A 15,107-nucleotide genomic window follows, 5' to 3' on the forward strand; every position below is an offset into this window, starting at 1 on the left:
GGGAAGCAAACAGTGGCAGAGTGAAGAGTTAAAGTCACTTTGCTATAATCATCACATAGAATGTAATAAACTGGTGAGGTGGGGAGAGAAAAGGACAATTATGTTGTTCCTTTAACTATGGCAGAATGACTTTCCTCCAGTTTGTTTAATGCTAACACACAGAGCATGTCTCTGTGCTGTACAGTGGAAGGTCATGAGGTAGAAATGGCAAAGAATAAAGTACCTCACTGGAAGGTTTTCTGAATAGGCATTTGTTTCCCTCTTAAAGAAACACACTCTTTAAGATATACTGGGAAGTCCAAGATTGAGGTACTAGAAGATTCAATATTGTATTAGTTCATTCTCGCATTGCTGTAAAGTCTCGCATTACCTGAGACTGGGTAATTTATTTTTTTAAAAAAAGAGGTTTAATTGGCTCACAGTTCCACAGGCTGTATAAGAAGCATGAGTGGGGAGGCCTCAGAAAACTCACAGTCATGGCGGAAGGTGAAGAGTAAGAAGGCTCATCCTACATGGCTGGAGCAAGAGGAAGAGAGAACAAAGAAGGAGGTGTCACACACTTTCATACAACCAGATCTCATAAGAACTCTGTCACAAGACAGCACTAGGGAGATGGTACTAAACCATTAGAAACCACCCCCGTGATCCAGTCGCCTCCCATCAGGCCCCACCTCCAACACTGAAGATTACAATTCAACATCAGATTTGGGTGATGACACAGAACCAAACCATATCAAGTATCTAGTGAAGACCCTCTTCCTGGTTTGCAGATGGCTGTCTTCTTGCTGTATCTTGCTGTATGGCAGAGAGAGAAGCTCTGGTGTTTTTTTTTCTCGGGTTATGGTAATGAGAAAGAAAAGGAAGGAACAGAAATGAAAGCATTATGGTACAGTAGCTCTGGTTAGGCCTTATAAGTTTTTTTGTTTTTTTGTGTTTTTTTGAGACAGAGTCTCGCTCTGTTGCCCAGGCTGGAGTGCAGTGTGCGATCTCGGCTCACTGCAAGCTCCGCCTCCCGGGTTCACGCCATTCTCCTGCCTCAGCCTCCCCGAGTAGCTGGGACTACAGGCGCCTGCCACCACGCCCGGCTAATTTTTTCTATTTTTTAGTAGAAACGGGGTTTCACCGTGTTAGCCAGGAAGGTCTCAATCTCCTGACCTCATGATCCTCCCACCTCGGCCTCCCAAAGTGCTGGGATTACAGGCGTGAGCCACTGCGTCCAGCTGGGCCTTAGAAATTTTCAAGCTGCCCAGAAACTTCTGATACATAGCCGGACATGGTGAAAAGTTTGAGACTAGGGAGGTACTGATACCACACGGTGACATTAATGACGACATGACTCCTGGACAGAGGGCTCAGTGGTCAAAGGGAACCAGAAAATGGGAGGTTACTATGATAAAATCTTACGTTTAATTATTGTAAGATAGAACATTAGAACAAAATGAAAATTCAGTGTAATAAATCCACAGAGAATGTAATAAATTGGACAACTCTGTATTGACTGGAAATGGAGCCAGAGATTCGGATGGGGGCTGTTAACATTGTTTAGTACAAAATGTGTTTATATCTTTATCAGGTTATAATACTTTTTTTTTTTTTTTGGAGACAGAGTCTCGCTGTGTCACCCAGGCTAAAGTGCAGTGGTATGATCTTGGCTCACTGCAACCTCTGCTTCCTGGGTTCAAGAGATTCTCGTGCCTCAGCCTCCCGATTAACTGGAATTACAGGCACACACCGACACACCCAGCTCATTTTTGAATTTATTTAGTAGAGACAGGGTTTCACCATGTTGGCTAGGCTGTTCTTGAACTCCTGGCCTCAAGTGATCTGCCCACCTCGGCCTTCCAAAGTGCTGGGATTACAGGTGTGGGCCACTGCACCCAGCCCAGGTTATAATGCATTTTAAGTTTTACCTCATGTATTTAGGGGACAGTATTAATGTATAAAAAAAGTGATATAACACAAACTCTATCCACCTCTGTTCTCTTTCTTCATATCACTCCTTATCCTGAACTGTGAAAATCTCTGTGTATTTTTTAAAGAGTGAAACAAACACCTTTTCAAAAGACCTTCCAGTGATATACTTTGTTCTACGCCGTTTCTGCCTCATGACCTACCACTGCACAGTGTACAGAAATGTTTTGTGCTTCTGTGTTAAACAAACTGGATGGAAGTCACTCTGCCATAGTCAAAGGAACAGCATAATTATCCTTTTCTCTCTCCTTTCCCTCCAGAGAGAATTCAAATAGTCACCAATAATGAATACATTTTTTAAAAGATCAAATCAGGCTAATCCAAAAAGTAAATACATAGACAATGGCATTAAATGGGAATTGCATCAAGTACTTGTCAAGATAGCCAATAAATGGTAGCCTCTCCACCAACACCACCATCCACCATTTGAGAAGGACAAGAGGTAGAAAAAAAAATTGTTGCAATTTTAAAATAAAGTTCATTTATGTTTGCTGCCCACCTCAGTTCTCCCACAGGCAACAAATTCATTTCCATTAGGTCCTGTCAGAGTACAGACTGTTTCCCAAAAGGGGTACAGAGAGGTTACAAAGTAACTTTCAGGAGTATTTTTTGCTTATTGTGGGAGGAGAGAGGGAGAGTAGGCAAAGAACTCTGGGAACAAAATTGTCTCTCCCACTAATTCTATCAATTAGAGATTCAAAGTAGTTAATGAGCTGTTCTTTTAAAGTGTAAAGGTCTTATAGGGTTATGCTTCATTTGCACCTGAATGTCATTAAACAAATAATCAAGATTAGCTAAATTTCAAGGCAGAAAAGCCTGTGGCAGGGGCAGGAGATTTGAAGAGCTTTATAGAGGAGTAATGGAAGAGGCAGCCGGACCCCTGACAGCCAAAGACCCATGGGGCAGTGAGTATCTGAAGGTACGGAAGAAACGGCAGGTGGCAGCAAGATTTCAAAAGGGAAAAGGGCAGTGGCCAAGCTCAGTGTAGACATTTTTGTTCAGAAGTCAGAGAGCAATGGGTGTGTGCCACTCATATTCCAGCGTGACTTTTAGATGACTACTTTAAGATATTCAGACATAAGAGTTTCCCTTATTTGCATACAAAATTATAATCCTTACAACTTGCAAGTTAGATATTATATCCTCATTTCACAATTGAGGAAACTTGCACACAGAGAAATTATATAGCTTGATCAAAGTCCCACTAAGTCTTGTAGATATAAGGGCAAAATTTGACCATAAAAACTTTTTACCACAAAACATGCCTTGCTTTCAAGGATAGCCTCTACACTTGCAGGTTACAAATCTCATTTTCATTCTACTGGGTTCAATCATCCTGGGCTAGAGCTGAATGGACTTTCTAGTTCAACTCAATGTCTTTCTAGTCAACCTATGCCCTTTTACAGGAGTGGGTCAAAAATTAGAAAGAACTCAAACTTTGGATTCCAACACACGGGTTCACAGCTCAGCACTGCCACTTACATGCTATGTAGCTGTTAGCATATTTCCATTTTGTAACATAGATGATTGTACGTAACTTACAGTATTCTTGGTGGATTATCTGCTCCTGCATAAAAAAAAAATCACCTCACATTGTAATAACTTAGAAATGATATGTATTTCACTCATAATTTTGTAATGTGATCAGGTATGTTAAAGATAACTTATCTCTGCTCCACTCAGTGTCTGGGGCAGCTTGAAGGCTGAGAACAAGCATCATCTGAAGTCTCAGTTACTCAGAAGCCAGGCAATTGATTCCAGCTGTTGTTTGAGATCTTAGCTGGTACTGACAACCAGAACATTTACACTTGGCCTCTCCCTGTAGCTTGGGCTTCCTCACAACATGGGGCCCAGATTTCAAAGGCAAGCATTCCAAGACAAAGAGCAGTTAGGTGGCAGCTCTATTTATTTTTATGATTTAGCCTCAGGAGTCACACAGCATCACTTTTGCAGCATTATATTCTTTGAAATAGTCACAAAGACCTACCCAGGATTCAGGGGGTGGGACATGTATCCATTAAAGGGGGAGTGGCAAGGTTCTGTAAGAGCATTGAGATCAAAAGTATTGTGGAGGTCTTTATTGGAAATTAAAATCTGCCACTATCCACTTTCAGGAGACAACAATTCACATCTCTTCCACATGCAAATACACTTAACCCTTTCCCCAAGCCCATCAAGCTTGAGGTTCAGGATCCTGTCATCTAAATCAGATGAAGTTCCTTGAATGTGATTCCTTAAGTTTAGCCCTTTGAATGTCATTCCTCTTGAAATGGAGATCTGTGAACTAAAAGATGATTCATCTACTCCACACACACCTGACATGCAATGTGATAGATTGAAGAAAACCATTAAGAGTATTCACATTCAATAAGGAGAAAACAGATGAAATACAGCGGGTACTGAATCATTCTGACATATAGCCATGTACATATTTCCATTTCCTTCATTAGGAATCAGTCCTGCTACCTAGGAATTCTCCATAACTCTTTACTCTGCCTTTTGAGCTGTTTGACCCACTGACTTATCTTTCCCATTTCATAAAATGTAAGTTGTCTTTGTAGTTAAAGTTTTCTTGGTCTGCTTCCTGCTCATGGAAATTTAGGAGTTAAAATCCTCTTTTAATTTTGTTCTGTCTCCATCCTTTTCAATACTAGATGCTAAAATTCCTTTAAACACTTTGTGGATTTCTTATGAATCAATTTATAATCCACTCCATTAGACAAAAGCCACATGCCCAAATCCCACAGAGATAAGACTTTTTCTAACTTTGGCTCTTTTTAAGAATGCTTCCCTTAAGATTTTGAGAAACGCTATTGTTATATGGAAGTAGTCTGTGAAACACCCCTTAAGGTCATTAGTGGGCTTTTTTCTGTTCAAAATGGTCTAAAATACACTATCTCAAAACTTTATGAGGCCTTAACAAAAGGTTTTATCTTTAGACCATGTTTTCCTGACAGCACCCTGGATTTGATCTCTGCTCAGAAGCCACATCTTAATTTTAGCATCATTTGCCATCTGGAGAGGCTGGGAATGAGAAACAGTTTTCTTTTCCAACCTAGCAAGTCCTGGAGACTTTATATATAACAGTGCTTTCTTTAGCTCATCTCTCTTCCTTGCATTTTACTACAGGCAGCTAGGAAGCAGACAGAAGGCAAAGCACTTTCAACCCTCTTTCTGCAAAACTCTTTAGCTAGAATATAGGTATATTTCCTATTTTCCATTTTACTGCAGGAGACATTATTGCTAAGCTTTCTGCCACTACATGAGTCCCCTTTCCTCCAGCTTCCAAAAACATTTTCCTCTCTTTTCTTCAAGTTCTCACCAACAGCCTTTTCAAGGTCACCAGGCTTCCTCTGATAGCTTCCTTGATCTCTTTTAAGTTTTCAGTAACACTCCCCTAAAGACATTTCCCATTTCCACCTGCCTCTGACCCTAAAGCTATTGCCACATGTATTAGGTTTAGTTTTAGCTACGCTTCAATTCCTGGAACCAAATGTGATCCAGCTATCTACTGCTGCCAATAAAATCACCCTAAAACTTAATGAATTGAAAGCATGACACTTATTTTGCTCAGAAACCTGCAATTTGAGGAGTATTCTGTGTGGATTGCTCATCTCTGCTCAACTCAGCCTTAGCAGGGGCACTTCAAAAACTGAAGGCTAAATTCACATTTTGTCTCTGCTCCATGATATTTGAGACCTCAGTGGGTAGACTTAATATCTGTGGATAACTTGTAGGCTATGACCTGAAATCCTCTGAAGGCTTGTTCACACTCATGTCTAATGGTCGATACTGGATGTTGGCTGAGATCTTACTGGGGCTGTTGGCCAGAACACCTACATATAAAGTCTATGTGTCCTGGGCTTCCAAACAACATGGGTGGCAGGTTTCCAAGAACGTGAGAGAAGTAGTGAGCCAGGAAGAAGTACTGCCTTTTATGAATTAGCCTCAGTAGTCATGTATATGGACATAGAGTGTGGAATAATAGACACTGGAGACTCAGAAGGGTGGGAGGGTAAAGGCAGGGGTGAGGGATAAGAAATAACTAAATGGGTACAATGTACATTATTTGGGTGACGGTTACACTAACAGCCCAGACTTCACCACTAAACAATAAATCCATGTAACAAAACTGCACTTGTACCCCTTAGATTTATATATTTTAAAGTCATGTATGGCACTTCTGAAGCATTCTTTTTATTGAGACAGTAACACAGGACCCATAAGTTCAGGTGGTAGTATTTTAGAAGAGCACGTGAGACTAAAAATATTGTTTCTGCCATTTTTGGATAAAACAATCCATGTCAAAAAAGGTTAAATGAAATAATGTACATTAAGAAAGAGATGCTCAACTGGGCACGGTTGCAGATCCCTTGATCCTAGGAGTTTGAGTCCAGCCTGTGTGACACAGCAAGACTCACCTGAGACTAGCCTGTGTGACATAGCAAGACTCACCTCGTTAAAAAAAAAAAAAAAAAAAAAAAGATACTTACCACATGTCAGTTCCCTGCCTCAAGTAAAATATACATTCCTCTTCCACCTTAATCCAAAGTATTGCCTTAACATGAAGTATATGGATGGTCTTTAAAGACATCTTAGATTGAAGGTAAAATCTCATGAGTGTAAATGTATGTATACTTTTTTTCAATGTTGATCAAACCCATCAAGTTCTTAAAATATCAGTGACCAGGAAAAAATAGATATTTCTATGGTCTGTATCATTGAGAAGAGTATTTTTAAAATATATTTTAGGAAAGTGACCTATTTTCTGTAATGCTGAAGGTCAACTTTACAGATGTTTCCTTCAGAAAAATTAGCAGGTGAAAAAAAGTCACATCAATACAAAAAAGGTTAAATTAAAATTTTTTTTCTAATCCAATAGATACAAATTGCATATACTTAAGCAAACACACATTCTCTCTTTGTTCCATCTTGCCCTTAAATAAGCTCTCTCAACTGAAACAGAAATCAGTTTGCAGTAATGCAGCATTCCTATTTCATTAGAGTGGGCATGAAAGAAGCTACATTATGATGGAACTAAAAGCCACTGGTGATTGCGTCGATCTGCCCCTAAGAGTGGTTCTTTCTCAAATTTCAATATACAAGCTCTGCTTTCATGAAGCCTCAAAAGAGCCTGAATGTAGCTTTATGCTACATTTATATGAGTCATAATTCAGAGGTGACCGAGCCATGTGAAGGAGGAAGTAATGAAGCAAAACTCTTCCTCTTCTAAACCAGCCCTAAGCACTACTGTCCTCATTATCTACTGCTTCTTGAGTAACCAAGACTGGAAAATGGAAGAATACACAAAACTGGAAAGAAAAAGAAGAAAAAGTGGGAGTAAGAAAAGGAGGCACAGTGTCACATTGGGGGCATATCAAGCATCTGCCCCTCCAGCCCCTAACATGCCAGAGGGAGGGAAAATGTAACTATCAGAAAGAAAATAGAAATGTTGAAAGTATATATAACTACCTACATTCATTCTGAATAAAAATCTATGATAATCTGTAAAAACTGCAAATTTCCTAGATAACTAACCTTAAACATACAAGGAACATAGGCACTATAAAAAATATTATATTCCAACCATTCCTACAGTGAGATTGATCATTGCAGGGGTAATTGTGTAGACGTATGAACGGCTTACAAGTAGTCCATCCCTGAAAAGTTGTTATCATTCAGCACCTTGAACTATATGTTGAGGGGTTCCCTCAATATGAATAAATGATTGTGAAACTCTTTTAATCTCTCTCCCTCTCATGCTCTTTCTCTGTCTGTCTCTGTCATATGAACACATTTTAATAAATTGGTCATGTCCAAAATTTTATTTTAGGCATTTATTACTCTGTTGCACTTGACTTGATTCAGTCTCAAAAGACCTAGTCCATAGAATAAATAAGCTTTTAAATCAGTAATTGAATAAACAAAATATAACACATTAAAAATCTTACAAATTAAAACAGGGACTTCTGCTTCCATCCATGACAGGCTATCTGGTACTAAAATTGCCCTCCTGCCATAAACAGCTAAAAATCAGGAGAAAAAAAAGATATATACATATGAATGAAACATATATATATGTATAACATATGTGTGAAATATATGTGTGAAATACGTGTGAAATATATATATATAACTATATATATACACATATAAAATAAAACTCAGGCATTTAACAACAGGTGGCAGCATAGGATTATAATCCCTAAAATAAGGGAAACACCGAGCCCCACTATTGCCCAGGGTCTTTCTTTTCCTAGAGGCACTTCTTGAAAGATTGTGAGGAGAAAGGCTGAACCAAGCTAAGCTATCACATGGCAGTCTTGCTAAGTGAAGGAGACAGATATTGAAGTTTGACAAGTCTAAGATAACTGGTATTTGCAGAACCAGAGGGAGCTTCACAAGGAAGCAACTTTGAAACTCTGCAGTGAGGTACCCTTGAGTCTTTTTCTAAATGCTACGTAGTACCTACTTAGGAGAACCTTCATGAAACAAAGCAAAGAACAATTTTTGAGAAGCAGTAAAAAGAACAATCCCCAGAGTTCACACAGAGTTTGGGAGATGTCTGTGTACTGACCAAGAAGAATGTAGAGAATTTACTGAAACCTGGGGCATTCAGTTGAAATCCAGGAGGATTACACCTTTGTAGTAAGATTAAACTAGTCCTAGCGTTAAAGCTACTCTAGACCTTCCCTTACAAAACTTAAAAACAACACTTAAAAGGAGCAAACTATTCTTCAGTGCTCTTAGATGCCTTCCAAATCAAACTTCAACTCTCCTGAAAGGATGGCAATAAGATCCAGATACTCAATAATGTAACCTTTACAATGTCCAGTGTCTAATAATAAATTACTGGGTATGCAAAGAGAAAAAATATAATTCATAAATGAAAGGGCAGTTTTAAAAAAACAGACTCAGAGAAAGACAAAGATTTGAAAATAGCTATTATAAATATGGTCAAGCACTAAAGCAAATATAGAAATAGTAAACAAATGGAAGCTATATAAAAGAGACAAGTGATACTTCTAGGGCTAAGAAATACAGTATCCAAAATGAAAACTTCACTGGAAGGGTATATTAGGAGATTTTAAAATGCAAAATAAAGGAGTAATAAACTTTAATAAATAAGCAATAGAAATGAATCAAATTGAAGTACAGAGAAAAAAAGAAGCTGCAGAAAAATGAGAACCTCAGTTACCTATGGAACAATATCAAGTTGTCTGATATACATGTATTTGAAGCACCCTAGAATAGAGGAAATAGTGCATGGAATAGAAAAACAACTCTGAAGACATAGTGGTGCACAGAAATTTTGCAGATTTAATGAAAACCATAAACACACAAATCCAAGAAGTTCAGTGGAACAAAAGTAGGATAAAAACAAACAAAAAGCACACCTAAGCCCATTATAATAACATTTCTGAAAACCCATCTTAAGATGGTTTTTCAGAAAAAAAAAAAATCTTAAGATGGCAAAAAAAAAAAAAGTTACAATACAAACAGAGAAAGAGAATTACTCCTGACCTTGTCAGAAACAATGCAAATTAGAAGATAAAACAATGTATTTAATGTGCTGACAAAAATAAGCCAGAAAATCCCCAAAACTGCTTAGAATTCTATGTCCACTGAAAATATCCTTCAAAAATGAAGGTATTTTTAAACTAAAAAAAGCTGAGAGAATTTCATGCTCTATAAGGAATATTAAAAATAATCTTCTGACTGAAAAAAGTAATATCAGTCCAAACTCAGATCTATACAAAGAAGTTACAAGCATCAGCTATAGTAAATATGAGAAAAAAATGTTCATATTAAAAATATTTTCAATGTAATTTATTTAAAATGGACTGTTTAAAGCAAAAAATTACATCGCTACATTGTGAAATTTAAATAGATACAGAAATAAAATGTATGACAACCAAAATAAAAAGGACAGGAGGGAGAAAACTAAAAATACTTTGTAAGATTGTTATTATATGTAATGTGGCATAACAGTTTTTGAAGGTAGATTATGATAAGTTAAAAATGTATATTGTAAATCATAAAACACACCCTAAAAAAAAGCAAAATCACTAATAAGTCATAGAGAAAATAAATTGGAATATTAAAAATAATGAACTAATCAAAAACAAGAAAAAGTAAAAAAAAAAGGAGATGAGCAAAGTGGAAAAAATAGTAAGGTAATAAAATTAAAATTAATTATGTTGATAATTATGTTAACTATAAATGGTCTGTACACTCCAATTTTTTTTTATTTTTCTTTAAGTTTCAGGGATACATGTGCAGAATGTGCAGGTTTGTTACATAGGTATACATGTGCCATGGTGGTTTGCTGTACCTATCAACCCATCATCTAGGTTTTAAGTCCCGCATGCATTAGCTATTTGTCCTGATGCTCTCCCTGCCCTCGCCCCGCAAGCCATGACAGGCGCCGGTGTGTGTCGTTCCCCTCCCTGTGTCCATGTGTTCTCATTGTTCAACTCTTGCTTCTGAATGAGAACATGCGGTGTGTGGTTTTCTGTTCCTTGCACACGCTAATTTTTAAAAGTGAAAAGTTGTCAGACTAGAGAAAAATGTAAGACCCAACTGTACACGATCTACAAGAAATCTACTATAAATATAAGACCCATATATATTAAAGTATGGAAAAATATATACCATGCAAATACTAATCATAACAAAGCTTCAGTGGCTATATTAATATCAGATAAAGTAGCTTCAGATCAAGGAATATTATCCAACATAAAATGGGATAGTTCATAATAATAAGGGAATTCATTCATCAACAAGGCATAATAATCTAGGTGTGCATACATACGCACCTAAAAACAGTTTCAAAATACCAGAAATAAAAACTGATAAAGTGCAAGAAGAAATCAGCAAATCTATAATTATAGTTGGGAATATCAACACCTTTCTTTCAATAATTGGTAGAATAATTAGAAATCAGGATAAAAATATTTGAACAACGCTGTCAAACAACTTGACTTTATATTTACAGAATACTATACACAAAACTACAAATACATATTCTTTTTGAGTGCTCACAGAACACACACCAACACAAGCCATATTCTGGACCATAGAACAACTCAATAAATTGAAAAGGATAGAAACCATTCAGATTCTGAACAACTCAGGACAAAACTATCAGTAAGTAAGAGAACTAGTTTTCGACTCAGAAGATTGACTCTAGTAGCCAGGTCCACTATAACATGCTATCAGGCAAAGGAAAAACACTGCCAACTTCTGAGAAGGTGTCCCTTTTTTTTCCAGGGGCTTATTAGTCAAAATATATATGCAGCAGAATCCATACATGCAGAAATTACTCGTGCCTTTTTGACAAGTAGAAGGCTAATTTTTCTATTTTTAGTAGAGACTGGAATTCACCATGTTAACCAGGCTGGTCTCAAACCTCTGACCTCAAGTGATCCGCCTGCCTCAGCCTCCCAAAGTGCTGGGATTATAGGCGTGAGCCACCACGCCCGGCCACAAGATTTTTAAAGTTTACAAAGAATATATGGCATCTCTATTTTTCTGGGGACTAAAACTTTAATGCTTCACTGATTGAACTTAGACTTTGAGCTAAAATAATCCTCAAGCATAAATTCATTAAATTAAACATATATTTACCAATTGCTTTGTATGTCTAAGCCACAGTTCCCAGTATTGTGGATAAACGAAAGTTGTTAAGGTGAAGCCTAAGCCCTGGGGGAACTGATCTTGTAACATCAATTGTATTTCCAAACATTACCACAGTGGAAAAATTGAAAAATGAAAATTTTAAAAACACCTTTAACAATATTATCTTAAAAGCAGGCAATACTCAGGGAGAAATTAAACAAAATAAGTGCAATACAAATAGATGGGGAGAAAACCTTCAAAATATTGTTTAAATAAATTAAAGAAGATATAAACAAATGGAGAAATATAAAATGTTTATGGATTGGAAGACTCAATATTTTTTAAGGAAATCATTCTCTCCAAATTGATCTATGACATCAATGCAATCCCAATAAAAATCTCTCAGGGTTTTTTTTTTGTGTGTCAAAAATGACAATCTGGTTCCAAAATTTATATGGAAGTTAACAGACTTAGGATAGCACAAAACAATTTCAAAATAGAACAACAAAGTTGGAGGACTTATACTGCATCATTTCAAGACTTACTATAAAGTGAGGATAATCCAGTGTGCAACTGACACAGCAAAGACATACAGATAAAAGAAACAGATAGGAAATATAGAAACAAACACATGACAAATCGAACTTTGATAAAAGTGCCAATATATTTAAATATGAATTTTTTTTCAACAACAGATACCGGAGCAATGAGACATCCATATGGATGTGACCTCTGTCTCACACCATATACAAAACTTAAATCAAAATGTATCAGGGATAAAAAGTTAAAGCTAAAACTGTAAAACTTCTAGAAAAAAACATGGGCTAGGATTCTTCATATTTTTGAAGTAGACAAAGATTTTTGGATAGAGCACAAAACAAAACAAAACCACAAAGAAAAAAATTAATAAATTGGTCTTCATCAAATTTTAAAATTTCTGCTGGGGAGTGAGGGATAAAAGACTACAAATTGGGGTACAATGTATACTGCTTGGGTGATGGATGCACCAAAATCTCACAAATCACCACTAAAGAACTTACTCATGTAACCAAATACCACCTGCTCTGCAAAAACCTATGGAAATAAAAAGATAATAAAATAAAAATAAATAAAATAACATTTCTGCTCTTACTAAAAGGCAAATTACCAACTGCAAGAAAATATTTGCAATGCATGTACTTAACAAGAGTACATACTGTATAATTCCATTCATATTAAATTGATTTTTCATATCAATCTTATATCTTGTGGCCTCACTGAATTAAAGTATTAATTCTAGTAGCTTTTTATTAGATTCATTAGGATTTTTTAATATACACAATTATGTCACCTGACCTCATTTACTTCTTATTTTTCAATCTCTATTTCTTTTTTTTTTCTTTTTTAGAAACAGGATCTCACTCTGTTGCCTAGGCTAGAGTGCAGTGATGTGATTATAGCTCACTGTGGCCTTGAACTCATGGGCTCAAGTGAGCCTCCCACCTCAGCCTCCCAAGTAGCTGGGACTACAGGTGCATGCCACCATGCCTGGCTATTTTGTCAACATTGTTTATAGAGACAGGGTCTCACTATAGTGCCCAAGTTGGTCTCTAACTCCTGACCTCAAGTGATCCTCATGCGTTGGCCTCCCAAAGTTCTGGGATTACAGGCATGAGCCATCACACCCAGCCCCAATCTGCATTTCTTTTCTTTCTTTCTCTTACCTTATTTCACAAATTAGATCTCCAACACAAAGTTGCATAGAAGTGGTGAAAATTAGGGGAGGAGCCAAGATGGCCGAATAGGAACAGCTCCGGTATACAGCTCCCAGCGTGAGCAACGCAGAAGACAGGTGATTTCTGCATTTCCATCAGAGGTACCCGGTTCATCTCACTAGGGAGTACCAGACAGTGGGCGCAGGTCAGTGGGTGCGCGCACCGTGCGCGAGCCGAAGCAGGGCGAGGCATTGCCTCACTTGGGAAGCGCAAGGGGTCAGGGAGTTCCCTTTCTGAGTCAAAGAAAGGGGTGACGGACGGCACCTGGTAAATCGGGTCACTCCCACCAGAATACTGCGCTTTTCCGATGGGCTTAAAAAACGGCGCACCACGAGATTATATCCGGCACCTGGCTCAGAGGGTCCTACGCCCAGGGAGTCTCGCTGATTGCTAGCACAGCAGTCTGAGATCAAACTGCAAGGCGGCAGCGAGGCTGGGGGAGGGGCGCCCGCCATTGCCCAGGCTTGATTAGGTAAACAAAGCAGCCGGGAAGCTCGAACTGGGTGGAGCCCACCACAGCTCAAGGAGGCCTGCCTACCTCTGTAGGCTCCACCTCTGGGGGCAGGGCACAGACAAACAAAAAGACAGCAGTAACCTCTGCAGACTTAAATGTCCCTGTCTGACAGCTTTGAGGAGAGCAGTGGTTCTCCCAGCACGCAGCTGGAGATCTGAGAACGGGCAGACTGCCTCCTCAAGTGGGTCCCTGACCCCTGACCCCCGAGCAGCCTAACTGGGAGGCACCCCCCAGCAGGGGCACACTGACACCTCACACGGCAGGGTACTCCAACAGACCTGCAGCTGAGGGTCCTCTCTGTTAGAAGGAAAGCTAACAAACAGAAAGGGCATCCACACCAAAAACCCATCTGTACATCACCATCATCAAAGACCAAAAGTAGATAAAACCACAAAGATGGGGAAAAAACAGAACAGAAAAACTGGAAACTCTAAAAAGCAGAGCGCCTCTCCTCCTCCAAAGGAACGCAGTTCCTCACCAGCAACAGAACAAAGCTGGATGGAGAATGATTTTGACGAGCTGAGAGAAGAAGGCTTCAGACGATCAAATTACTCTGAGCTACAGGAGGACATTCAAACCAAAGGCAAAGAAGTTGAAAACTTTGAAAAAAATTTAGAAGAATGTATAACTAGAATAACCAATACAAAGAAGTGCTTAAAGGAGCTGATGGAGCTGAAAACCAAGGCTTGAGAACTACGTGAAGAATGCAGAAGCCTCAGGAGCCGATGCAATCAACTGGAAGAAAGGGTATCAGCAATGGAAGATGAAATGAATGAAATGAAGCGAGAAGGGAAGGTTAGAGAAAAAAGAATAAAAAGAAATGAGCAAAGCCTCCAAGAAATATGGGACTATGTGAAAAGACCAAATCTACGTCTGATTGGTGTACCTGAAAGTGATGGGGAGAATGGAACCAAGTTGGAAAACACTCTACAGGATATTATCCAGGAGAACTTCCCCAATCTAGCAAGGCAGGCCAACGTTCAGATTCAGGAAATACAGAGAACGCCACAAAGATACTCCTCGAGAAGAGCAACTCCAAGACACATAATTGTCAGATTCACCAAAGCTGAAATGAAGGAAAAAATGTTAAGGGCAGCCAGAGAGAAAGGTCGGGTTACCCTCAAAGGGAAGCCCATCAGACTAACAGCGGATCTCTCGGCAGAAACCCTACAAGCCAGAAGAGAGTGGGGGCCAATATTCAACATTCTTAAAGAAAGGAATTTTCAACCTAGAATTTCATATCCAGC

General features: G+C 38.4%; 2 annotated features.

Moving 5' to 3' along the window:
• Positions 13,010–13,658: an enhancer, noted in NCBI's record as "NANOG-H3K27ac-H3K4me1 hESC enhancer chr2:158371315-158371963 (GRCh37/hg19 assembly coordinates)". NCBI's record gives its function as "activates a minimal SCP1, AML or CMV promoter by ChIP-STARR-seq in naive H9 embryonic stem cells {active_cell/tissue: H9 hESC(naive)}" and the evidence as "EXISTENCE:reporter gene assay evidence [ECO:0000049][PMID:30033119]".
• Positions 13,659–14,306: an enhancer, noted in NCBI's record as "NANOG-H3K27ac-H3K4me1 hESC enhancer chr2:158371964-158372611 (GRCh37/hg19 assembly coordinates)". NCBI's record gives its function as "activates a minimal SCP1, AML or CMV promoter by ChIP-STARR-seq in naive H9 embryonic stem cells {active_cell/tissue: H9 hESC(naive)}" and the evidence as "EXISTENCE:reporter gene assay evidence [ECO:0000049][PMID:30033119]".

The sequence above is a fragment of the Homo sapiens genome, chromosome 2 (assembly GCF_000001405.40).
Source record: "Homo sapiens chromosome 2, GRCh38.p14 Primary Assembly".
In the NCBI taxonomy this organism is placed as follows: Eukaryota; Metazoa; Chordata; class Mammalia; order Primates; family Hominidae; genus Homo; species Homo sapiens.